Source organism: Homo sapiens, chromosome 4 (assembly GCF_000001405.40).
Source record: "Homo sapiens chromosome 4, GRCh38.p14 Primary Assembly".
Taxonomy (NCBI): Eukaryota; Metazoa; Chordata; class Mammalia; order Primates; family Hominidae; genus Homo; species Homo sapiens.
Window position 1 is genome coordinate 165,291,025 of NC_000004.12, and position 26,639 is coordinate 165,317,663.

The 26,639-nt window shown below is 37.1% G+C and overlaps 1 protein-coding gene and 1 non-coding gene across 13 annotated transcripts in view, besides 1 other annotated feature; one reads left to right on the forward strand and one right to left on the reverse strand.

Annotated features, from left to right (window-relative positions):
- Positions 1-26,639, forward strand: part of KLHL2 (kelch like family member 2) — a 115,596-nt gene that overhangs the window by 83,464 nt on the left and 5,493 nt on the right. For 10 of the 12 annotated variants that reach the window (XM_047449560.1, XM_017007674.2, XM_011531572.3 and 7 more), the window contains 8 exons: positions 3,335-3,444; positions 6,585-6,701; positions 8,483-8,632; positions 14,584-14,701; positions 19,529-19,726; positions 20,440-20,541; positions 22,214-22,342; positions 23,002-23,142. In XM_047449560.1, coding sequence (XP_047305516.1) covers positions 3,335-3,444; positions 6,585-6,701; positions 8,483-8,632; positions 14,584-14,701; positions 19,529-19,726; positions 20,440-20,541; positions 22,214-22,342; positions 23,002-23,142 — 1,065 coding nt within the window. Of the gene's footprint in view, positions 1-3,334; positions 3,445-6,584; positions 6,702-8,482; positions 8,633-14,583; positions 14,702-19,528; positions 19,727-20,439; positions 20,542-21,904; positions 22,053-22,213; positions 22,343-23,001; positions 23,143-26,639 lie in introns of those variants that run through there. The other 2 variants (XM_017007675.3, XM_047449562.1) reach the window with 2 other exon arrangements.
- On the reverse strand, positions 2,099-2,285 carry LOC124900915 (U2 spliceosomal RNA). Its single transcript, XR_007058555.1, has one exon. It is a non-coding gene; the product is annotated as a U2 spliceosomal RNA (small nuclear RNA).
- Positions 4,232-4,281: an enhancer, noted in NCBI's record as "active region_22118". NCBI's record gives its function as "activates an Ori minimal core promoter by ATAC-STARR-seq in GM12878 lymphoblastoid cells {active_cell/tissue: GM12878}" and the evidence as "EXISTENCE:reporter gene assay evidence [ECO:0000049][PMID:35858748]".

Sequence of the window (26,639 nt, forward strand, 5' to 3'; positions counted from 1 at the left end):
TAGATACGTAAATGGTATCTCATTGATGTTTTAATATGCAGTTCTCTAATGACATGTAATATTGAGCATCTTTCCATGTGCTTATTTGCCATTTGTATATGTCTTCTTTGGTGAAGTGTCCATTTAGATCTTTTTGCCCATTGTTTAGTTGAGTTGTTTATTTTCTTCTTGACCTTTAAGTGCTCTTTTTATATTTTAGGTAACAGTCCTTTATGAGATATGTGTTTTGCAAAGATTTTCCCCCAGTCTGTGGCTTGTCTTTTAATTTCTTAAGAGCATCCTTTGCAGAGCAGAGAAGTTGTTAATTTTAATGAAGTCCAACTTAACCATTTTTTTTTCATGGATAATACTTTTGATGTTGTATCTAAAAAGTCATTGCCATACCCAAGGTTAGTTAAATTTTCTCCTATGTTATCTTCTAGAAGCTAAATTTTGTGTTTTACATTTAAGTTGCTGATCCATTTTGAGTTAATTTTTGTGAGAAGTGGAGTCTGTGTCTAGATTTACTGTTTTGCATATGGATGTTCAGTTGTTGCAACATCATTTGTTGAAAAGACTCTTCTTTTTCTATTGAATTGGCTTTGCTTCTTTGTCACAGATCAGTTGCCTGTGTTTTTGTGGGGTCTCTTTCTGGGCTCTCTATTCTGTTGTGTCGACCTACAGTCATCCCTTGGTATCCACATCCATGGGGTATTGATTCTAGGACCCCCAACAGGTACCAAAATCCGTGGGTTCTCCAGTCTCTTATATAAAATGGGGTAGTATTTGCATACAGCCTACTCACATCCTCCCGTATACTTTATTTTTAATTTTTTTTTTTAAAGAGACAAGCCGTTACCCAGTTGCCCAGGCTGGAGAGCAGTGGTGTGATCCTAGCTCACTGCAGCCTCAAACTCCTCTGCTTAGGCAGTCCTCCTGCCTCAGCCTCTCAACATGGTGGGATTACAGGTGTGAGCCACTGTGCTCGGTGTCCCATATACTTTAAATAATCTCTAGATTATTTATAATACCTAATATAGTGTATGTGCTATAGTTGTTTTTTATTGTATTTTTTTCGCAATATTTTTGATTTGAGGTTGGTTGAACCACCGGTTGGTTGAATCTGCAGATGTAGAACTTGTGGATATGGAGATCCAACTGTATTTGTCATTTACATCTTCAATTTCATATTTATTTCAGTGCAATACCTTGCTTTGTCAAGTCTGAGTTTTAAACAATTGTGTGTCAAAAAACTTTTGAGTTTCAAAAAATTTTGTAAATACAAACATTTTAGAGCTGCTTGTTTTTTTTATAGTTATCTTGGGGTGAACTTTTTTATTTTTTTTTGAGACAGAATCTTACTCTGTTGCCCAGGCTTGGGTGCAGTGGCGTGATCTCGGCTTACTGCAACCTCCTCCTCCCAGGTTCAAGCAATCCTGCCTCCTCAGCCTCCCAAGTAGCTGGGAGTACAGGTGTGTGCCACCATGCCTGGCTACTTTTTGTATTTTTTGTAGAGACGGGGTTTCGCCATATTGTCCAGGCTGGTCTTGGACTCCTGACCTCAGGTCATCCGCCCACCTTGGCCTCCCAGAGTGCTGAGATTACAGGCGTGAGCCACCATGCCCTGCCAACCTTTTGTAAATTGAATAGTTTTTCATGAGATTTATGAAAATGCAGGTTTTATTTTTCAAATGTCATTGAAGGGGAAGCCAACTGTTCCTTTTTATGGTATGTTGAAATACATATTTGAAATGAATCTTTTATTTCACCTTATAAAACAGTTTTATAAACTCTATTTATAAGGGTTTTATAAGGTGAAATAAATATGGTTCATTGTGACGACCTAGAAATTAACCTAGATTTTCTAGCAAAATTTTACTTTAGAATTTATAATATTAACAAGAGCTAAGTTATTGAATCCTTACTCTCTACAGACACAGTTCTAGGTGCTTTATAAACCACTAGCTTATTTAATCCTCACAGCAATCTTATTTTTATTATCCTCATTTTACAGATGAGGAAACCAAGGCTTAGGGAAATTACGTTAACTGCCCAAGGTTGTACAAGCTAGCATATGGCAGAGCTGGGATTCAACCCTGGTATGTCTGAATCCGCAGCCCAAACCACCACATTCCCTTGTGAGGCAGATTTGCAAGAAAGGTTATTTTACAAAAGATTCGTTCTTTGTAAGGTTTTCAATCATTGCACTGATAGTCTTTTCCCCCCTTGGATGGAGGACGTATCGGATATTAAACTGATAAGAACAGATACTACACTTGATCTTAGCCAAAAGGCCAAGAAGCGATCTTTTTTCCCCTTGGGAAGAGTGGCCATATTTGTGAAATCAAGGGAAAAAAATTTTTTAAGTATTTAAGAATTACTAATTTTACAAGTTTCTGGAAATGGGTTGAGGCATAAAATCCTGGAATTTGATCCGAAATAAACTATTTATTTAGAATTCAGAGCTATCTATATCATAAACCAATTCTGTCTCTCTTTTTTTTTTTTTTTCTGAGACGGAGTCTTGCTCTGTCTGTCATCCAGGCTGGAGTGCAGTGCTGCGATCTCAGCTCACTGCAAGCTTCGCCTCCCAGGTTCATTGCCATTCTCCTGCCTCAGCCTCCTGAGTAACTGGGACTACAGGTGTCCATCACCATGCCTGGCTAATTTTTTTTTTTTTTTTTTTGTATTTTTAGTAGAGACGGGGTTTCACTGTGTTAGCCAGGATGGTCTCGATCTCCTGACCTTGTGATCCGCCCGCCTCTGCCTCCCAAAGTGCTGGGATTATAGGCATGAGCCACTGCGCCCGGCCCAATTCTCTCTTTTTAAAAAAATGTTGGTCATATATTCAGATTGGCTAGCATTTGAGATTTCTTTAGTTTCCAAATAAAGCAGGGCTTTTTTCCTTACTCCATAAGGAACAACCCTCTAATGTTTCACATGATATGACATGTAGGATATGACAATATGACATCATGTTCTTTATCTGATTTATATAATCAAAAGGTTTTACAAATTTAAGTACTGATGGTGTCATACCATATAAGGAATAGATTTTTTTAAGCCTAAAATACCACCATGTAAAACAAGAATGATTCAACTAAGTGCGTGTATATTAAGGCAGCTTCCCTCCTTGCACTGCTACTGTGCTGTTGTATAAACAAATCACTGAAGGTACATCCCCAGGTGTCTCTGAGTTTGTTTGGGTTTGTCTTGTTAGTTCTTGCCTGGAGGTGTGCAATTGGTTTTCTCATTCTTAAGTTAGATTAAATTAAGAAAAACCTTTTTTAAGCAGTTTGAAACTATGATAATGGAATGTTGATGTTAGTGGATTTTCTTTTTAATTCCCAAACAGAGCAACATTTTGCAGATGTTGTACTTAGTGAAGAATTTCTCAATCTTGGCATCGAACAAGTGTGCAGCTTAATCTCAAGTGACAAACTTACCATTTCTTCAGAAGAGAAGGTAAGGATATTTTTCTTTTCCCAGTGTGCAATGATGTTTCCCTTTTTTTTTTTTTAATTTCACTTTTTTTTATAGCTTTGTGATCCTGTATGTGTAGTGACAGCCAGTGATGTTTCAACTGGAAGTTAAGAAACTCAGCTAGTTACTTCAGGAAAGGATTCCAGGAGAAAAAAAAGAAACTCAGGACTTGTTGATTGTCTATGTAAATTACTCCCGGTCTTCACTTTGTGGGAGGTTCCCTAAATTTTTAGCCACTACAGTTTTGTACTTGACCTCCACAGCAAGAGCTTGCACACATTAGACTATCTGAAACAAATGCTTTTTTGGAAACTAGTTTCTTCCTACAACTCAATGCCTGTAGGAATTATGATGTGAACATAATATTTGTCACTAAATTAGTTTCCTTGTCTTCTGAGTTGAAAGAGGTTACCTAGGATGGCGAAGTTTTGGTAGTTCTAGACTGAACATTCTTGATTGTCACCTTCCTTTAGATTGATTTCCTGTGACATAATACCTCACCCCTGCCAGTCCGTTCAGCCTGCCTGCCTCCCTGACTCTCTCCCTCCCTGCCTCCCTCCCTCTCTGTGCAGCTACTGCTTCTGGTTGTAGTCTTTTGTCTCTCCACGTTTTGAATTACCTTTGTCAGCCACCTGCACTTTTCGTATAGTTGGAGAGAGAAGCTCCTTTTAGTGGGCTGTTTTTCCTTGGGTGGGTTTTGTAGCACACGGGAATCAGAGCACAAAAGCTGTGCTTAGAGGAAATGAAACTTGAGTTTCTCCTTTGTGTGCTTAGCATTTCAAGTTGTGTAAATTCTGATTCTCTTTCTCAAGGCTATTCATTTCACCTGGGGTTAAAGACACATTTACTCTAATATTTACAGTATTAAAAAATGTGAAAGCATTTGTGACATATATAATCTTAGCATCCTAGAAATACAGAGGAAGATGACATTACTTTCACACTTAATAGACATGTATTGAGTGCCTTCCATGTACCAGACACTGCCATGGGCTCCTAGAGAAGAGAAGATTAGCAGAATAGAATTTGTTACTCATAGACTAGTGGGACAGCCAGTAGAGTAAATAATTGATTACAGAATGCTGTAAAGGGTGCCTTAGGAGCATTTAACTTTTCCAGGAATGGGATAGGTATGGGGATGGTAGTTCAACTTGGTTCAGATGTATATTTCAAGTCTTTTAAAAATGAGTCTGAGTTTGCCAGAGAAATAGGGATGGGTGGGAATGCAGAGGGCATTCCAGGTAGAAGAAGCAGAATATACAAATGTAAAGAGATATGAAAGAGTAATTGTATTCAATGTGTTCAGTATGATGGGAGTTTAGAATATGAGACATTGGTGGAAGATAAAATTAGAAGATGATATAATAAAATATCTTCTCAGCTATGTTAAAGAAAATTAACTGTATTGTAGTGATGAGCCTTAAAAGGGTTTTAAGCCAGAGGAGAAAACCATGCCAAAACCTGCATTATAGAAATATCATGAGGGCTGTTCTGGTTTTCTGCTGCTACTCAAGTCATTGCCAAATGTAAAAGCATAAACAATAACCATTTTATGCTAACAATTCTATGGTCAGAATTCATGCAGAACAATAGGGACAGCTTGTCTCTGCTCCACAGTGTCTGAGACCTCGGCTAAGGTGACCCAGATGCCTGGAGATACCTGGCATGGTTCTACTGGAGCCATAGATCTGGAGCTTCAGTTCTTCTGCACATGGCATCTTATGGGTCTGTAATGTCCAAGGTGGCTCCTCCACCTACTTTTGTCTGGCTCCGGGGCTCCCGGTTGATTGGTCTCTCTCTAGGTCTCCCTCCTCTCCCCTCCTTTCTTCTCTGTAACTTGCATGGGTTTCTCATGGTGTGGTGGTTTCAAGTAGCCAGACTTCTTACATGACATTTGGCTTCCTTCAAATGAGCATTTCAAGAGAGCAGAGTAGAAGTAGTGAGGCTGCTTAAGACCTACCTTCAGAAATTGCACAGTGTCCCTTCCTCCGCACTCTACTGGTTAACAGGGCCAGCTTAGATTCAGTGTGGAGGGTTACTATATAAGGGTATGGATCTGGGAGATGTGGTTTATTAGGAGGCTATCTTTGGAGACTAGCTATCTGGTGGTGGTGGGCAGTATGGACCAAAAATGAGGTGAGGGCCAGATGAGAGGATGTTGAAGTCATACCAGTGAGCAGCAGGTTCCGATATGGGATGATAGAAGCAGGGGGGAGAGAAGACAGAACTGAGAAATATTAGATAGAATTGCCAGAAGGCCGACTATCTTGTTCACCTAATCTCTGGCACCTGGCACGTAGAGACACTTGATAAATACTTGTTGACAGAATGAATTAAAGAGGGGTGTTAATTTTAATGTGCATTATTTTTAGTTTCTTGCTTTTTTTTTTCAAACTTTGCAAAATGTTTTACTACCTCCATTCTGTTCATTCTTGTTATTTATTTGCAGAAATCAATAAAAGGTTGCCAAAATGTAAGCTGATCCACAAAGTATGAGAGAATTAGTTTCTTGCTTTATTCCTGGATCAAAATAACCTATTTTTGGTCTCAGTTATCCAATTGCATATTGTCAAACATTTCCTGCAAACCTTTAAAGATTATTAAGTGATATATTCATCAGTTGAGAAGAAAATTATGTAGACAAACAGTGTCTTCATATTAGCTTATTAGCTTTCTCACAATTATGTATTGTAAAAAATAATGCCCTTATTTTTTAATTTGTAAAAAAAAATTTCAAAATACTACATTTTAATATATTCTGCTATTACAGAGCTGAGTCGATCTATTGTACAAACCTTCGATTTATGTGTATGGTCTAACATTTGTTTGTAAACCTGAAGAAAAAGCCAAACATGAATTGTTTATAAGGATACATGATTTTCATTCCAGAATATCACTTTGCTTTATTATTTTGGGTAAATAAAAAAAAAAAGAACAGAAAAGAAATGGGGTGAATGGCTTTGTAAGTACATTGCAAGTCAGGATTTTGAAAACACTTGAGCTGTGAATTAAACTTGGATGTCTTAGCAAGAGTTATATATAAAATGTAGTCTCATATTTTATCCAGATGCCTTGATACACAACTCATTTCTTATTTTTTCTTCTCCTATATTTTCTGCAAGGTATTTGAAGCAGTAATAGCATGGGTGAACCATGACAAGGATGTGAGGCAAGAGTTTATGGCCCGACTGATGGAACATGTACGGTTACCTTTGCTTCCTCGGGAATATTTAGTTCAGGTAAATGCATATGCAAAACATATGAATCCACACAGCACTGTGTCACTGGCCTGACAGCATGTAGATCCCTATCAAGCAGTGATAAGAGCTGTAGAATGCAGATCTGTGGAGTACAGGACAGAAGACAGTAAAGGACCCCGCAGGCTGGAGTGCAGTGGCGTCATCTCGGCTCTCCGCAACCTCCACCTCCCGGGCTCAAGTGATTCTTGTACCTCTGCCTACTGAGTAGCTGGGACTACAGGTGCATGCTACAACCCCAGCTAATTTTTGTATTTTCAGTAGAGTTGGGGTTTTGCCCTGTTGGCCAGGCTGGTCTCGAACTCCTGACCTCAAGTGATCTACCCGCCTCGGCCTCCCAAACTACTGGGATTACAGGCCTTGTGAGGCACCACACCCAGCCACCATTCCCCGTTCTTAGAAATTTGCTTTTGCCCCTATTTTTGATTTGGGTAAGCAAGTACTAGAGCTTATCAAGGTAGTATTTGTGGTCACTTAAATACATGTAAATAAATGTCCCTGTGGCAGTCACTGCTTTGCATCTTCTTTACTGTTTTTTTCTTTCCATAGTCTCTTCTGATTCCCCTGCAGACCTGGAATTTTGAGGTCTGACCCAAATACCGTTTAATTTTACTTCGTAATTTAATAGTGGCATGCATTTGATTTCTGTCTTTATTTCTAAGCTGAGGGAAAACATTATTTGAAATAAATGTGAAAAATGATTCTTTAGTGGTCTCCAAATAATTTTAAATTTACTGTTTTTTTTATTAGAATCCCGCTAGGAACATTTCAGCATTATTTTAATAATTGAAACCATTGAAAGAATCATTTATTAAGAAATTAGATTTGAACATTTTAGGATTTCTTGAAATCTCATTACTTTTTGTGATCTGTGTAATCATGGGTCTTCTGGTATTAAGAAGATGATCCAAAAGGGTGGGTGCGGTCAGTGGCTCACGTCTATAATCCCAGCACTTAGGGAGGCGGAGGCAGGCATGAGGCCAGGAGTTCGAGACCAGCCTGGCTAACGTGGTGAATCCCCGTCTCTACTAAAAATACAAAAAATTAGCCAGACATGGTGGCAGGTGCCTGTAGTCCCAGCTACTCAAGAAGGTGAGGGAGGAGAATTGCTGGAACCCGGCAGGTGGAGTTTGCCAGGATTGTACCACTGAACTCCAGCCCGGGCAACAGAGTGAGACTCTGTTCCCTTCCCCCCGCCCCCCCTCCCCCCCCAGAAAAAAGAAAACGAACCCAGAAGCCTGTCCTGCGTTTGAGGTCAGGCTAGGCAGTACAAGATTTATTTGTGTTATGGGTACGTTGCTTTAAGGTATTTCTAATCTCTTTTTGGGATATTTTACTTGCCCACTTGTGTTTGAAAAAGGTATCATTAACTTATTAGTATTGTCTTCACCTGAAGGATGTATTATCTAAACTTTGTTTCTTGTTTTGCTTACTTTTTGTCTTAAAGGTTAAAGATACACAGGTGGATATAATATCCGAAGAGTTCATCATATTCCATAGCTAACATTGAAGTTTATCATTTTTCACTGTGGTTCTTCTTTTTATTACCTATATATGTTTTTCTCTGCAGGCCAGATACTTGAGCATTTTTTGGTTATATTTATTTTTCTCTTAGATGTATTTATAAACTTTCCTCGTTTATTTTTAGACTAAACTAAAGGATATAGTTACTGCTTTTTTCCTCTCCTTTACTTCTTTTTCTTTGGCAATTTAATTATGAAATAGCCCTACCCTCAGTGGGTGTGTCTGATTTCTTGTTACAGAGGGTTGAAGAGGAAGCATTGGTCAAGAATAGCAGTGCTTGCAAAGATTACCTCATTGAAGCAATGAAGTACCATTTGCTGCCAACAGAGCAGCGTATATTAATGAAGAGTGTCCGGACCCGGCTGAGGACACCCATGAACCTTCCCAAAGTAGGATCTGTTTCTCATGCTTGTTATTACCTCATGCAAAAGGCTTATAAGTGAAGCTGTTAGTATTTTGCTCATTTGAATTTCCGTGATTTATTGTTTTAGTTTTCCTTCAAGAGAAAATGTGCCTAAGAATGCATTGTAGTGTATGTAATTCAACCTCTATTGATTTTATATGTTAAGGGTGGGGATTCTTTGGTCCGTTTAATTTTTATAAACTGCATGATGTCACTCTTCTGGAACAGAAGACAACTGGTTTTTGTCCCCTCTGAGTTTTATTAGCTCTAATTATAGTAGAAAGCTCTAATTATAGTCCAAAAAAATCAGACCAGGTAGAAGGATTTCTCTGTAGGCCTGGGGTGCTGTGATTCATGCCTGTAATCCCAGCACTTTGTGAGACTGAGGCCAGTGGATCACCTGAGGTCAGGAGTTTGAGACCAGCCTGGCCATCTACGTGAAACCGTGTCTCTACTAAAAATACAAAAATTAGCCACGTGTGGTGGCAGGTGCCTGTAATCTCTGCTACTCAGGAGGCTGAGGCAGAGAATCACCTGAACCCAGGAGGCGGAGGTTGCAGTGAGCTGAGTGGAGTGCCCACTGCACTCCAGTCTGGGCAACAATGTGACAGGCTCTGTCTCAAAAAAAGAAAAAAAAAAAAAAAGAATTATTTTGTAAGCTAGGTGTTTGTTTAATAACTGAAAACCCAGTAGTTTCACAGAATTACACATTAGAACTACAGATGATAAAAATAGCTTGTTCAGTTCATCTCATTGCTGTTCCCTGCTGTATACCATTTGATGGTTCCCTGCACATCATATGTAGCCATTTCAGCATACATTCCCATGTCTTCCCGTGTGTCTCGTGTTCATATTTTCCTATGTGAATGTTTATATTCTACCTTGGTCTTTTTAGCTGTGGCCATTCATATTTTACCAATTCAATTTTTCTTATGAAATAACCCCTCATTTCTGTCTCTGTTGGCAATTCCTTCTGCTCTGTTTACATCTTTATAGTACGACCAATACTTTAAGCACCATTTTGTGCGTGGTCTAATCAGAATGACTCATAATATAAAGACTTTATTTATGTATTTATTTTTAACTCTTGTATATGTTTCGGGCAATGCTGGATTAAGAAATAAGAATCTGTTCTCTCGTTTTCTTATATCATCTTCAGTTATTACTCTGTCCTTTCCATTGAATTGTTTTTTAAATTCTTTCACTTTAATACTTTAATATTTTTCTAAGTTTTACTTTGGAGTCTACATTTTTAATTGCTGCAAATCTATATTGGTATTGTTTTTCTGTTTTGCCTATTACTAACAACAGTTCTCAATTTATAACTAACTGCAGATTTGCCAGGATGCTGTTGACTTATTTTTCTAGATCGTTAGCAAATATTTTAATTTAGAATTGATCTCAAAACTCTCTTGGTGGCACCTTGTTAGAAGTAGCCAGCCACTGACACAGTCTATTTGTGGAAAGTTTCATTCTATATGATTATTATCTAAGCCAAAATAAGTAGTTTGGCATATAACATCTGATGAGGTTGAGGATCAAATGGATTCAAATTTGGCATGACTTTTTAAACATTCTTCTGCATGGTATTTTATTGGCCCCTAGAAGTTCAAATGCTTTTCTCAAAATCTTCTAAATTTTTACTCAGAATTATCATCACTTAACAAAGTGTATTTACAAGGTATTCACTTCCTATCCTGGTTTGAAAATTTGGTATTTGCTTTCTTTAAATTTTCTGATCTATCCTCAGTTCTCTGAGATTTTTCAGAAATAATTGTAAGTGGCTCAGTAAGTACATTAGCTAGTTCCCTTAATACCTCAGTATTCATGCCAGGTCTGCTGATTTTATATGTGTTTACATTTTTCAAATACCCTTACACCTGCTTTTATAAGTACCCATCTTTTAAGTCTTCATTAATTCATATTTGTCCATCTTATTTGGTGTCAGTTTTTGTTCTTACAAAATAATCCATTTATAAAAATTGTTCAGTCTTGGCAGTGAGTTTAAGGTTGCCATTTATTTTATTTTATTATTTTATGTAAGTCTTTCCAACTTCCTTCTAAATAATGTGCTATATCTTTAATACTTTTTAAATACTTCATATTTGTAAAAAAGAATTTCTTCTTGTATATTCCTTCCTCTAGCATCTTCAGACTTTCCTATATTTAGCTATGCTGCAGAGACCTTTAGAGTGAAAGTGAATTCATTTTTGATTTCTGGAATAAACATGTCATTTTTGAAACCTAGAGTTCTCGGTAAAAGCCTATCAAGTACTTACTTTCTCTTTTGTGGTGTTGTGTTTACATTGTTCCTGGACTTCTCTGGTTGTGGTTTTGGAGTAGGACTCCTATAGCTGTGTTATACTTTTAGATTTCTCAGTTCTCTAGCTGTTATTTTGTGCTGGGTATGTGGGTCCCTGGAGGTTCTCTTTCATTCTGCTCTATCAGGGTGGTGGGTGGGGCAGCAGACTTGCTGGATAGCAGTGAGCAGCCCTGTTGCTTTGACTTTGCATGTTTACTTGTATGATCCCTTCTCAGTGTGTTTGTTTATCCACACATATTTTCGAAAAGGTGCTGGTGATGAACAATTTTCCAACACCACCATTTGTCATTTTAGAGTTGTTATGTTCAGATTAAGTCTAAGGAGTTGGGTAAGAATGAAGCAAAGATTAATTTCTTATGCTTATTATTTCATAGTAATGATGCCTTTTATCATCGTAATAATGAGTCAAATTGAACAAAATGTGGTAGTCGTGCTGAAGAAATTACAAGGTTTTGATAATATTTTACCATGAGAGTGAATTAGTACTTTTTATATTACACTCTGATTTTTAATTTGCATGAATGATTCTTTTCATATCTCAGACATTAGTTTTGGCTTCTCAATAAACAGATTGTATAAGGTATCCTTGGATTTGCACATCATAATAAAAATTGTGTGTGTTTTGCTTCTTTTGTATTTTGTTAGCTTTTCTCTTTGGAATCTGTATTTTTATAAGGGCTGTCATATTTCTGGGTATATATTATATTTTAAAAATATTTTTACCCAGTATATTTATTGAAGTTTTCAGTTAGAATCTTGATTTTTCAGGAGTTAATTTTCAACTAATATTTATTTAATAGGTAAAATAAAAGGAACAAAGTTTAATTGACGTACATTTCAGGATGATTAGTGAATTTGCTTAACCTCCTACCCCTTGCCCTCTTCAAATATGTTACTTTTAACTTTTCCTTACAAAAGGTCTTCTTTTCTTGTTCCTTCATAGCATAATTAGTATGGTGTTTCTCAAATACCTGTGTCTTTTACAGATAACTGGGATGTCAGCATTATGAGCAACTCTTTTGGTAGCCACACAATGGTTTATGACACAGTCTCTTGGTTTTATATAAATATTCCTGCCTTCCTGTCCCCCCATTGCACGTTCTCCTTGTCTCCTTTATCCCTGATTCCTGGAGACCCAAATCGTTACCCCATTTTCCCTCTCTTGGGTGAGTAAAGGACAAATATTACTACTGTTCTCTGTATGTAATAGCACAGTTTTCCTTTTCATCTTCATTTTAATGTGTAAAAGTGAACTATTGCGTGGAAATAGAAATCTTATATTCAAACTTTGAGGATTATGAAATCTATAACTCAGTGTTATTTATCAAAAAATTTAAAAAATGTTCCCTTCTGAAATTTTAGAAAAATTGGTCTTCATCAGATATATCATCTAAGACTCTTTCAACTATTGTCTCTTGGGCAGTTTTGAAGTTTTGAACAGAACCCTAAATACAAGGTTTATCTTAACATGCATCCCAATTCTGTAATTTTTACAACCTTGCCCCCCCCGCCGTTTTTGGGTGGTCAGAGGTGAGGGTATTGTATATTTTCTTTATTAATTATGTTTATTTTATTTATTTATTTTTTGAGATAGAGTGTCGCTCTTTCGCCCAGGCTGGAGTGCATTAGTGCAGTCTCAGCTCACTGCAACCTCTGCCTCCCAGGTTCAAGAGATTCTCATGCCTCAGCCTCCCAAGTAGCTGGGATTACAGGCACGCACTATCATGCCTGGCTAATTTTTGTATTTTTGGTAGAGACGGGGTTTCGCCATCTTGGCCAGGCTGGTCTCGAACTCCTGATCTCAAAGCGATCCAACCGCACTGGCCTCCCAAAGTGCTGGGATTACAGGAGTGAGCCACCGTGCCTGGCCAACCAAAATGTTGTCTGTTTGTTTGTTTGTGAGACAGAGTCTCACTCTGTTGCCCAGGCTGAAGTGTAATGGTGCAATCTCGGCTCACTGCAACTTCCACCTCCTGGGTTCAAGTGATTCCCATGCCTCAGCTTCCCCAGTAGCTGGGATTACAGGTGTGCACCACCATGCCTGGCCAATTTTTAATTTTTGTTATTTTTTGTGGAGAAAGGGGACTTGCTGTTAACCAGGCTGGTCTTGAACTCCTGAGCTCATGATCTGTCCGCTTCAGCCTCCCAAAGTGCTGGGATTACAGACGTGAGCCACCATACCTGGCCAAGAAGAATAACAGGCCTGAAAAAAATTATGTAGTTGGTTTATGTTCAGTCTTCTTTTAAGACTTTTAAAATTCATTCTGCTCTCCAGTTACCAAAAACTAAAATGGGCTTCTTTTTGGAAATTTGGGATTTGCTCTCTGATTCAGGAATCATTTTTTGCTTTGTACCCATCTTTCTTTAATTCTAAGTACAGGTAGGTCATTGCCTAGTCAAGGCTGCAAATCTCCTCTTTTTGTGTATATGAGTTACTCCATATTCTGTTTGTTTTTATTTTTTGTTTCTTTCTAACATCTATTTTTCCAATCATTATCTCTTCTTTTCCTGAAGGTCCTTGCCATTCTTTACAGTTTTTGATTTGAGACATCATTAATGTTTACATTATTCTGATTTGATGGCTGTTATTTTCACTGTTGCCAGAGAGTGTCTGTGCATACTCAGTAAAAGGCAGACACATTGATTTCTAAATTCTATCCATTTAGCAAGACCATAGATCAGGTTCCAGGAAGCTTTCACTAAATTACGGCAGCTTTTCATTTTCTGATCAGCAGTAGCAGTTACGTCTATACTAATCACATAATTTTTCGATCATATGTAATTGTGTACTCTTCTTGAGTTACTTCATAAGTCTTGTCTCCTTAGTGAGATCTATCAAGTCTTGAAGGGTAGAGACCATGTCTTATATTTCTTATGTATAACACCTAACATAGTTCTGGACACATATAGACCGTAGGCATTTAGTAAATAGTTGTTGGATTGAGTTGAGGGAACTTATAGACCTCATTTATTCTCAAAAGTAGACTTTTATGTATTTGTTCATTATGATATCTAGCATCTCCATTACATGTCCTGTTAGGTTGTTTTATTTGTGGGGCATCAGGAAAGGTCTCTACTGGAGATTCGGGAATCTGTACTCTTGTGAGCTCCAATTCAATTACTCCTCCTTTTTCAATATTTTTTTTCCTTCTTCCATCTTTCTTTTAATACTTACTGTCCGTTTCACTTCACCTACCCAGTAACATATGTTTCATTTCTATCTTCTCTCCTGGATTATGGAGTTCTAATGCCTGGTCATTGCAAAAACCAGGATCTAGTTTATAGCAAGCCCTATGACATACTGCAGCCTTGCCAGTAATAACTGCGTGCTGTTTTTTTGCTTAAATAACTGCTTTTGCTTGAAGGATCAGAAACTTAGTTTCTGAAGTCCTTATTTTTGACTAAATGTGCTGGACGATAGAATTGTATTTTTAACGTGTGTCCCCTTGGTTGATGTTTATGAAATGTTGGTTAGGTGGTTAGATGTTTGTATTCGCCAGCTCACCCTATCATCTTCATCCTAACACTTCCCACACCAGTGTCTTTGTAGGACATTTTAAATCCTGAATATGTAATAGTCATTTGTTCAAGTGCTTACATTTCTGCCCTTGTAGTTGATGGTGGTGGTTGGGGGCCAAGCACCAAAGGCTATCCGGAGTGTGGAATGCTATGACTTTAAAGAAGAAAGGTGGCACCAAGTAGCAGAGTTGCCTTCCAGGAGGTGCAGGGCAGGTAAGCATGATGCATCATGGTCAATTCTCTACTCCTGGGTCATTGGGAGCTTCTTTTTCAGGTCTTATTTTATTAATTAGAAAAATCTCTATCAAAAAAGCTTTGAGTAAAATAGCTATGTAGTTAAACAGTAATTCAGGGGCCTCATATGCCTCTCAAGACATTGATGGGATAGCTACTCTGTCTCCACCTTTACATATCTTTCTGATTGTTTAGTGTAAGGTGGGAGAGCTAGTAATTTGCCGGATATTTCCTAGTTACATTTGCCTGAAGTGTTGAGAGGGGAATTCTTTAGGTTGGGACCCTTAGTTCTAGGAGATTCCCTCAGCTATAAGGTACTGTTAAGTCCCTCAGTTATAAGGCATAATTGCCTTCTTCAAGGCATCTGTTTTACAAACATTTGTTGAAATAGACTTTCATTTAGCCAAAGCTGTGATCAAAAGAAGCAGTTATTATACAAACTCAGAATTTTTCCTGGGACTTAAACTTGGATCCATAATTTCTGTCTCCCATAGCGAAATGAGTTCTGTATGTAATGGAACGTTTCTATGATGGTAGTACTTTAACAATACATCTTGGAGATTGTTACATATCAGCATATCTGGAGTTACCTCATTCAATAAGAGCTGTCTAGTGTTTTATTTTGGTCTGGACATAGTTTTTACTAGTTTTTAATAGAGCATTACAAATGTTTTTAATCTTAATGTTATAAACAATGCTACAACAAATCTCTTATACATACATCATTGTGTACATATGCTAATATATTTTGGCAGGATAAACTAGACTTACTGATTCAAAGGATGTCTTAAAAGGATATGCCAATTATTACTCCCACTAACAGTAAAATATGAAGGTGCCAGTTTCCCTAAACTCCTGACAGTACTTTGTAATTAAATGTTTTGAGCTTTGCCAATCTGGTGGGTGAAAAATGCCTTAATTTGTACTTATGTAATTATGAGGGAAGTTAAATATCTTTCTCTCTGAATTGTCAGTTCATGATTTTTGCCATTTTAATAGTTTTATTGATGTCACAGATACAGTTATGTTAAGGAAAGTAGCCTTTTTGTCTGTGATATGTAGTGTGAATACTTATTTGTATTAATCTTTTATCTTTTGACTTTGTGCTATTTTTGCCATGTAAAAACTTTATCTTTTAATGTAGTCCTGTATACCAAAGTTTTGTGTCTCTGGACTTAAAATTTTGTTTCTTGCATAGAAAGCCATATGCCAAAGTTATCTATATGTGCGTGTGAGTGTGTGTATACACACACAAACATATTTTTTAAAAACTTTATGTGGGGCCAGGCGCAGTGGGTCATGCCTGTAATCCCAGCGCTTTGGGAGGCCAAGGTGGGCCGATCACAAGGTCAGAAGCTTGAGACCAGCCTGGCCAACATGATGAAACCCCTTCTCTACTAAAAATACAAAAGATAGCTGGGTATGGTGGCAGGCACCTGTAATACCAGCTACTCAGGAGGCTGAAGCAGGAGAATCGCTTGAACCTGGGAGGCGGAGGTTGCAGTGAGCCAAGACCTCGCCACTGCACTCCAGCCTAGGCAATAGAGTGAGACTCCGTCTCAAAAAACAAACAAACAAACAAAAAAACAAAAAAACTTTATGTTGAAATAATTTTACTTACAGAAGAGTTGCAAAGATAGAACAAAGAATTCTGGTATATTCTTTCCCCAATATTAATATCTTACTGTGATACAGTTATCAAAACTAGAAATTAGCATTGGCATATTAATATTAACTGAAATACAGACTTCATATTTACCATTTTTCCATTGATTCTCTTATGCTGTTCTAGGATCCTGCTTTGCATTTAGTTGTCATATCTTCTTATCTGAGATAGTCCCAGAGTCTTTTCTTATCTTTTATGCCCTTGATTCTTTGAGGAGGACTGGTCAGATATTTTGAAGAGTGTCTCTCAAGTTGGATTTGTCTGATATTTTTCCATGGTTAAATTGACTTAGTATGATTATTTTTTGTGAGGGTAACCTTGTTCTCTTGGTTAAGGTGGTATCTGCCAGGTTTCTACCCTATGACAAAATTATATTTTAAAAACATTTGTTGTTCTAGTACCTTTACAGTTTTATTTATAAATATATGTATCTAAGATATCTGGGCTGTATTTTAGTCTAAGATGTAAGGTATAGATTTTGGTTTTTAATGGCTAGTCAGTTGTCCAAATACCCCTTATTGACTTATCTGTCTCCATTCATTTGATGAAATGCTGCCTTTATCATGTATTAAATTTCCACATTTACTTGGTTTTATTCTAAATTTTCTGTTCTCTTCCATTGATTTGTCTTGCCTATTCATGCATCAAGACAAAGCCAATTTTAGTTACTGAGCTTTATAATATGTTTTACTATGTTATGAAACTAGTGATAGGACTCCTGTCTTCTTTTATATCCTTCAGTAGATTTTTAACATTTTCTTCCAATGGTCCTCTGTGTTTCTTGGCAAGTTTATTTTTAGGTGTTTTATCTTTATCGTTACTATCTGAAATGGAGTCTTGTATGCCATTTACTAACTGGTTTCTTAATTCATATCTGATTCCTAATACAGTTCCCTTTTCATTGAGGCCATAAGTCATTTGACTCATTTTATTGCAAAATGTATTCTTTACTTATTGGGTAACTATGAATAAATTTTATCTTCATCATGCCCTCTTTCCTCTCCCTCCTTCAGATTAGAGCCAATGTCCTTAACTGTGTAAACTTGGCCAAATTTTAATAAACTGTGTAATTAAACTTCTGGGCACTTCAGTTTCCTGATAACTTTGGGAGGTTATCATACTTCTTTTAGTTCAGTCCCTTCTCCAGACCCAGAGCCTTTGGTAGGGGGCACTTCATAGATTGATTCATTTATTTTCTTCCTCTCTGTGACCTAAAATTCTCTAAACCTTGGTAAGCATACTATGTTACTTCTAAGAGATGGCATATTTGTAGTGTTATTTTGTGGGTAGAGAAAGGAAAATGAAAATTGCAATGGGCAAGATTCCCACAATGAACATTCCCTGGAGTTAGTTATGATTTTGGGATACAGGATTGTTTCATGCTGAAACATGCTGCCTGGTATGTTGCTGCTCACGAGTCTCCAGGCCCTCTTAGGATGTCTGTTAAATTCTGTGCTAGCAGGGGGCCAAAACAGGCAACTTCATCTGAACTGGAAAGGTCTTGTTGCCATATGGAGGACTGCATTTCCGTGTATTTTTACAGGGGTGGGGGAATAAAGCACCAGAGGTTAAGACAGTAAGGGGCAGAGGTACATCTCTTGCCTGATAACATCTGCAAAACATTGAGCTCGTCAAACATATCTGGTGATTCCAGTTCTCCCTACAGGGATTCAGAGAACTGTGAGCCACATTGCCTGCCCTCAGGCTGGCACAGGGACATAAACATTATAGAACTAAGAACAATAAAAATTTGAACAATTTAAAGTAATTATATTATAGACGGTACATTTATTAAACCTGAAGTACACAACATAGATGTTATTTGCTATAGGGTTCGGGAGCTGGACATAATCCCTTTTAGGCTAAAGTGGACAGGGAAGGCATCATAGAGAATGTGGAACTTTAACTGAGGATTCAGAGTTAAAGAGAACAGAGTAGATGGTGATAGGAGCCTGTCCGATTAGGACAGCAGCATGAAAAAAGTTGAGAAAAGTGAAAAGATGGTTGAAACCTGAGTCTAGCAGTCTAGTTTCTCCATTCACTGATTCCGTAATATCTCTTTAGCCCAAGGATCAGCAGACTTTCTCTTGAAGGACCAGAGAATAAGTATTTTAGGCTTTGTGGTTATATGGTCTCTGTCACAGCTTCTTATCTACTGCTATAGTGCAAAACCAGCCATATGTAAATGAATGAGTGTGGCAGTGTTCCAATAAAACTATATTTATGGATGGTGAAATTTGAATTTCATATAGCTTTTTACATGTCATGAAATATTATTCCTCTTTTGGTTGTTTTTCAGCCATTTAAAAATATAAAAACCATGCTTAGCTTATGGGTTCTACAGAAATAGTTCGCTGGACCAAATTTAGCCTGTAGCTGTAAATTTGCCGACCCCTGATTTAGCCCACTAACATGATAAACTAGGAATACGTTATGCAAATAAATTATAAGCGTATGGAGTTTCATTCTAAGAATATCCACTAGAAGATCCAAAATTGAAAGCTATGGGAGGTGAGTACAGGTTCAAGTAGTTGGAAAATAATGGCTCATTATTTAAGCTTGTAAATTGATATTTAAAAAAACCAAGAGTCAACATGGTACTTTAGCCCATGCCATTGCATTTTTTAATAACCTTAGAAAGAAGGCCAGGTGCAGTGGCTCACGCTTGTAATCCCAGCAGTTTGGGAGGCCAAGGCGGGCAGATCACGAGGTCAGGAGATCAAGACCACAGTGAAACCCCATCTCTACTAAAAATACAAAAAATTAGTTGGGTGTGGTGGCGGGCGCCTGTAGTCCCAGCTACTCAGGAGGCTGAGGCAGGAGAATGGTGTGAACACGGGAGGCTGAGCTTGCAGTGAGCTGAGATGGCGCCACTGCACTCCAGCCTGGGCGACAGAGTGAGACTCCGTCTCAAAATAAAGAAAGGAAGAAATAATAATAATAATAACCTTAGAAAGAAAGACAATTTAGTGATTGGATGTTCTTGCAAATGAATAGCATTTTCAAGGATTTATTTAATCAGGCTCCTCCTAAGAGTAGCATGTTCTGACAACAGCTATAGATTTATCAGAAAGCAATCTTTGGATATTGGTGGTAGTTGAGTTGCATGTTGATCATTAAATGCTGTACTCCTTTTGCAGGCATGGTCTACATGGCTGGACTTGTTTTTGCTGTTGGTGGCTTTAATGGCTCATTAAGAGTTCGCACTGTAGATTCCTACGACCCTGTGAAGGACCAGTGGACCAGCGTTGCTAACATGAGAGACCGGAGAAGCACTTTGGGAGCTGCTGTGTTAAATGGATTATTATACGCTGTGGGAGGCTTTGATGGGAGTACAGGTAATTTCCTTTTCATTTATTCTACATTGCTGCTAAAATTAACGTAGTAGTCATGTTTATGGAATAAATTGTGGCAACATTAGGGCACATGTGAGGTTTTTTGTGTTTTTTTTTTTTTTTTTGAGATGGAGTCTTGCTCCGTCGCCCAGGCTGGAGTACAGTGGCGCAATCTCGGCTCACTGCAAGCTCCGCCTGCCGGGTTCATGCCATTCTCCTGCCTCAGCCTCCCGAGCAGCTGGGACTATAGGTGCCCGCCACCACGCCCGGCTAATTTTTTTTGTATTTTTTAGTAGAGACGGGGTTTCACCATGTTAGCCAGGATGGTCTCAATCTCCTGACTTTGTGATCCGCCCACCTCGGCCTCCCAAAGTGCTGGGATTACAACATGTGAGGTTTTAACTGGTATTTAAAGATAAGTTTAAAATTTTATCAAGAATTTCCTTAAATGATATGAGTGGTGAGTATATAAATTTTCTTTCTTATGCATCAGTATCAGTCATCAAATTTTAAAAGCTTATAAATATCAGTAGCTTAGGTAGGAGCCTTCTGGAAAACAAGCTGTACCTGTTTTTCATGTAATTGCTGTGTTTATGTTCCACCATTTTCTTCTCTTAATTTTAGCCCAGTATAACATACCTGAAGTATTTTTCCATATATATGAACTATTGACATTTTTTAGAGAAGGAAATGAAGACTATTGTGCTTTATTATAGGTTTGTCATCTGTGGAAGCATACAACATAAAGTCTAATGAGTGGTTTCATGTAGCTCCCATGAATACAAGGAGGAGCAGTGTTGGTGTGGGTGTTGTTGGAGGTAGGTGTTGACAGTTCTTTCAGGTACATGTGGCATTTTGATCCTTGAGAGTGGTTCTTCCAGTAATCTCAACTTTAGTTTTCTGAATGGGCAAGCTAATTATCATTTTAAAAAGAAAAGTCGTAATTACTGTAAAATTTCAGTTATCCTCTTTTTAAAATTAGCTTCTCTATATAAATCAACCTATATAAAGCCTTTTCTCTCCCTCTCTATCCCCCTCCCTTTATCCCTCCTCCTTTCTCTCTGTGTGTGTGTGTGTGTGTGTGTGTGTGTGTGTGTGTTTGACTTATATAACTGTGTGTGTTTGACTTATATAACACGTGTGTGTTTGACTTATATAACAGCAGTCCCCAACCTTTTTGGCACTAGGGACTGGTTTTGTGGAAGACAATTTTTCCATGGACAGGGGTGGGTTGGGGGGATGGTTTTGGGATGAAACTGTTCCCACCTCAGATCATCAGGCATTAGAGTGTCATAAGGAGTGCACAACCTAGGTCCCTCAAATGTGCATTTCAAGATAGGGTTCACACTTCTGTGAGAATCTAATGCCGCTGCTGATCTGACAGGAAGTAGAGCTCAGCTGTAATACTTGCTCACCTGCCGCTCACCTCCTGTTGTGCAGCCCGGTTCCTAACAGGTTCCAGACAGGTACCGGTCCATGGCCTGCGGTTTGGGGACTGCTGCTGTATAAGACTGTCAACTGATTTTAACAGTTGCTTGGGGGAACAATTCAGGTGACATAAATGTGTAATTTTATATCTGGAGAAGGGCTGTTAAGGGATGGATTGCCACAGTTATTTATTTATATCCTACTTTGTCTCCCAACAGAAGTTAAGGAAGGCTCTAAGTATTATTATTATTATTTTTTTTTAATTGACTTGGGCAAATTTGCAGGTTTCCACCCCCTCCTCATCGTAGGTGTAATCTGTGCACTTAGAAAAAAACAGCTTTATTGTGATATAATCCACATCATACAATTCACCCATTTCATGTATACAGTTCATTGTGCATCCATCACTGCAATTCATTTTAAAACATTTTTATTATCCTCTAAAAGCAATCCTGCTTCCCTTGGCTCTTACTCGTATCTTACCCAACCTTCAGCAACTGCTAGTCTACTTTCTATCACTTAGAGATTTGCCTCTTCTGAATATTTTAGTCATACAGTATGTGATCTTTGGTGACTCACTTCTTTGGCTTAGGGTGATGTTTTCAAGATTTGTTTATTTATACTGAGGCATTTATTAGTACTTCATGCCTTTTTAATGCCAAGTAATATTGCATTGCATTCTGTTATTAATTTTTGATTTAACCTTTTTTCCGATTTCCTAAGATAACTTTGGTATTTAATTCTGTCTTACAGGATGTTGTTCACTTATCAAATAGTGTTACCTAAAGATATAATGAGTGTGCTATTTTATCAGATTATTGATGAAAGTATAAAATTAACATCATCAGCTATACCCTGCAGATCTTCATAACATGATTTGATTACCCCATCTGTCACCATTAGGCAAGACCCTAATATATTTCATAAAAATCAGCAGCACTTTAAGGGGAAACTCTGCTGCCATGAAGGAAAATATATTAATATTTTCTGGCTTGAAAAATTAGTGTTTTTTGTTTGTTTGTTTTTTAATAAATTTGGCTTTCTATGTGATTTTATGTGTAGGTTTGCTCTATGCTGTAGGAGGTTATGATGGAGCATCACGTCAGTGTCTTAGCACAGTAGAATGCTATAATGCTACAACAAATGAGTGGACCTATATAGCAGAAATGAGCACCAGGCGGAGTGGAGCAGGTACATGTGAACCTGTTTTAGCAACTGAAGCACAAAAATGATGGAAAATAGTTAAAGTAAAATGATTCAGTGGCATCACTTTACATTATCTGAAAATATATGATATGCTGATTTTAGTGGCACTGCTAAATGTCTTTTGAATTGTGCAGGTAATGGGAGTAATTACAAAGTAATTTTACTTTAAAATTTAATGTCTAAGTGCCATAGACATTTCTGTTTCATTTATATATTCAAGTTGTTAGCACTCCTTTTAGTTTTTTGTTTTTAGTGCTTATTGGGGAACTTGCTTAATAATCAAGTCTTTTCATGTATATTTCTTAAAATTTTGTGCTTTAATATGCGGTTATTTTACTATGGATATTGTTTTCAAAAGGATTACATTAAAGGACTTTTTCCCTCCCTGTGTTTCACCTACATGTTATTAATATTTTTATTCTGTTTGACATGCCTCTTTTTTCAGAATAATAGTTTGTTGAGATGCTTATTTAATCATCAATTGTATTGATTTCCATTTCTTAAATTGTAGGCTATAGTATCAGCTTGCTTTTATTATGAATTATAACTTCGAAAGTTTTAGTTACAAGTCATTTAAATAAACCTAATATGATATAAATCTCTTGTTCTTTTTGCCCCTCTATTTGGCTGGTTGTGTTTTATAGGTGTTGGTGTGTTAAACAATTTATTGTATGCTGTAGGAGGTCATGATGGCCCTTTAGTACGAAAAAGTGTTGAAGTATATGATCCCACCACTAACGCATGGAGACAGGTTGCAGATATGAACATGTGCAGAAGAAATGCAGGTATCTGTCAGTTTAAGGTTATAAAACTTATGTTGAATTTTATTTTAAGTTTCACTGGTATCACTCTATCAATGAATATCAATGGTATTTCCATTGTTCTTTTACTGATCTGGGTTCCCTGATAGACTCTGAACTCTTTAAAGCCAGAAACTTATGTAATAATCCTATAAAGTGAATGCCTGCCATAGTCTCTGGAACATAACAGGTTGTTGTGACACTTCAGTAAACTCATCATTTCTACTAGCTGCTACTTTTTGGTGATAAATGTGGAGACTAATTAAATTAGGTGTAGACCCTTTAAATGATACTGAATTCATTCATTCTTACAACAGATATAATTTAGTGCCTACTATGTATCTATCATACACTGGAGATCCTAGTTCTCAGGAAATTTAGTCTAGTTGAGTAGATATTTATACTAGGTTAAAAAGCTAGTTGATTATCTAAATCTAGAGGGGAAGTCTGCAAAGGTAACCCTAGCTTAATACAGTTCAGGATTTCCAGAAAAATGGAAAAACTAAAGCAACAACAATAACAACAAATAATTTTAAGAAAGTAGAGAACTTCAAGATTAGGGAACTAACCACTTAAAAAGAAGAATCAAGAAAGGGAAATACAAATGGAAAATAGACTCAAGATAGCTACATAGCCTTTCAGGAAATGCTAGGATTCTTCAAAATGCCATTATCTTCATGTCATTTCTCATAGTGTAAAATAAGTTCCTGGTGAGTCTCAAACTTACTGTACACCATTGGACACCCCCCTCCATCAGCGCTCATCTTAGTTTCTCTTTAAAGAAGGGTGATTACTAAGAGAGACTAAGTATGTGGAACTGCAGATACTGTTGGCAGCAGACCAGAATTTATAGTTAATTCTGTTTGGCCTTGCACGTCATCTAGTCAGTTGTATATGGTAATCAGTTCGTTAGATGGTAAGACCCTCAAATATGGGTCCTTAGTAGAATAAGTGACTCCAGTATACATTAAGTTAGAAAAGCCATGGTGATTTGTGCATGTGTCTTCCTGGATTAGGAAATTTAGTTGCAATTTGAGCTTTTTATGAATATTTTCTTAAAGGTTAGACTAATTTATTTTTTCTCTATATGTGTTTATTGTTTTCATATCAAAATTCACTCATTTAGGTAGAAGAATAAAGAGATAATTTGTATATATAGAGCTACCATTATCCTGTTCTTCAAAAAATTGTGTGGGAAAGGGTAGGATTTAGGAAAAAGACGTAAGTCTCTGTTGAAAAGTTGTTTCATATTTTGATTTAGACAACATTACTTGAGTTTATTTGATAATCAGGAAGAGAGAGAAATCTGAAAGCTTACTTTTCAGTTTGTTTTTCCTTCTCAATCAATGATGTTTATTTTCTATGCAAATAACAAAATTTGAATTATTTACTTCTATAATTTACAAGATACAGTATAATCCAATTGAGCATATATTTTAAAATTATTTAAGTTCATAAGAGTATTTTAAAATCTCACCCTCATTCCATATTCCTGATAATCTGAAACAAACTTCTGATAAGATCTGTTCAGCTCTTCCTTTTTAATAACCTAGGCTAAGGACCTCATCCAAGCACCTAAATTATTGGAAAGAAAGAACTAAGCTGGCAAAGAGTGGAGGACATGTATTCAATGTTAAGCGGGGAGAGGTGAAAGCATCCATATAAATTTGAAATAGCAAGCAGCTTACAAGCCAGATTTCAAAAGTTTTCATAAGTATGGTAAATTATGACACCAAGAGTGGAGTAAAAATGAAATAAATTTGAATTAGATGATTATATATAGACCTTTAATACCTAGCACATCTGTAATAGGTTCTCAATATGAATTTGATTGTGTTGAAGTAAACTGAATAAACTGGAACCATCAAACACTGCAGGAAGGTGCATCCTTTTGGCAAAGTGATTTGGCTCCTATCGCCTAAAAGGAATCTGGTGTTGTGAGTTAGTGGGTTAGTAAAATTGATGTCTTCTGAATGTATAGCTAAGATATTCAAATGGATGTATGGACCAACCTCCCTTTCTGCAGTGGGATGCTCTTTAATCTGTGAGCCCCTCATAGATATGATTGGGAAAACTCTTTAGAACAATATAGTCTCCTTGTTCATGCCTTCCATCATAGCAGGGCCATTTTTGAGATCATTTTTTCTCTCACAGTCCTATGTTGTCCATCAATAGGCTGAAATACAGTGTTGCATACACATGTAACTACTGTGTGGAGCTTGTGTGGCAGCAGCATTTGATTCTTGCTTTTAAGTATTTGAACAACTTTAAAATGGTATGAGTTTTTTTCCTACAAAGTTTTGTAGATTTGGGCAGCATTATTCGGGATTCTTTGATGCCCTCTAGTATAAGTTCATAGTAGCACTGAACTTTTTATAAGAAATTAAATGTACTTTTAAAAAATTACATTGAAATAGCTTTTTAAAAGCATTTACCATTAGACTCAGCAGTTTTCCTTCTAATAATTTATATTAAGAAAAATTGCTCAAGTATTCAAAACACTGTTCAGGGGATCTTTGTTCATTGCAACATCATTGGTAACAGCAAAAAAATCAAAATTACTTAAATATCCATCAGTAAAAAAATGATTAAATAAACTGTCATACATAAAAATTACATTTATATTTATTAACTTGAGGAAATGTCCAAGGTAGGTTGGTTGGCCAGGGTGGGTAAGTTATTTAATAAAGTAGCATGTGTAGTGTGAGCTACTTTGGGGTTAAAAAAGAAAGTGTCTGAGTATATATGCATGGAGAAAAGTTAGCCAGAGTAGAGATCAAAATTTTAATGGTCATTATTCTAAGAGACATAAGGTTGGAGGTCATCTTTTTTTCTTATAATACTTTTCTAGATGTTTTGAATTTTTGCAAAGAAAAGAGTTATTTTAATAGATAAATAATATTGTTCTCTTTAAAGGGAGATAAAATAGCTAACCATTCAGTGTGATAATTAAAATTAAGAATATTTTTACCTTCTACTAACATATATTTTCTTCCTTAAGATTCCCTAAGTAGCTGACTTTGACTTTTTATTAAAAAAAAAAAAATGAGGGTCAAAATAGTTTCTAACCTATAATGTTGTGAAAATTAGGTAGAATAATGCATATATAAAGTAACTACTGCATAAATGACACTCAGTAGGAGCTTAGAAGTGGTATTATGGTCTCCTAATATAGAAAGAATTCTTTTTTTTTTTTTTGGAGACAGAGTCTCACTCTGTTGCCCAGGCTGGAGAGCAGTGGTGTGGTCTTGGCTCTCTGTAGCCTCTGCCTCCCTGGGTTCAAGTGATTCTCCGGCTTCAGCCTCTTGGAGTAGCTGGGACCACAGGCACACTCCCCCATGCCTGGCTGATTTTTGTATTTTTAGTAGAGATGGGGTTTTGCCATGTTGCCCAGGCTCATCTCGAACTCCTGACTTCAAGTGATCTGCCCACCTTGGCCTTCCAAAGTGCTGGGATTACAGGCGTGAGCCATGGTGCCTGGC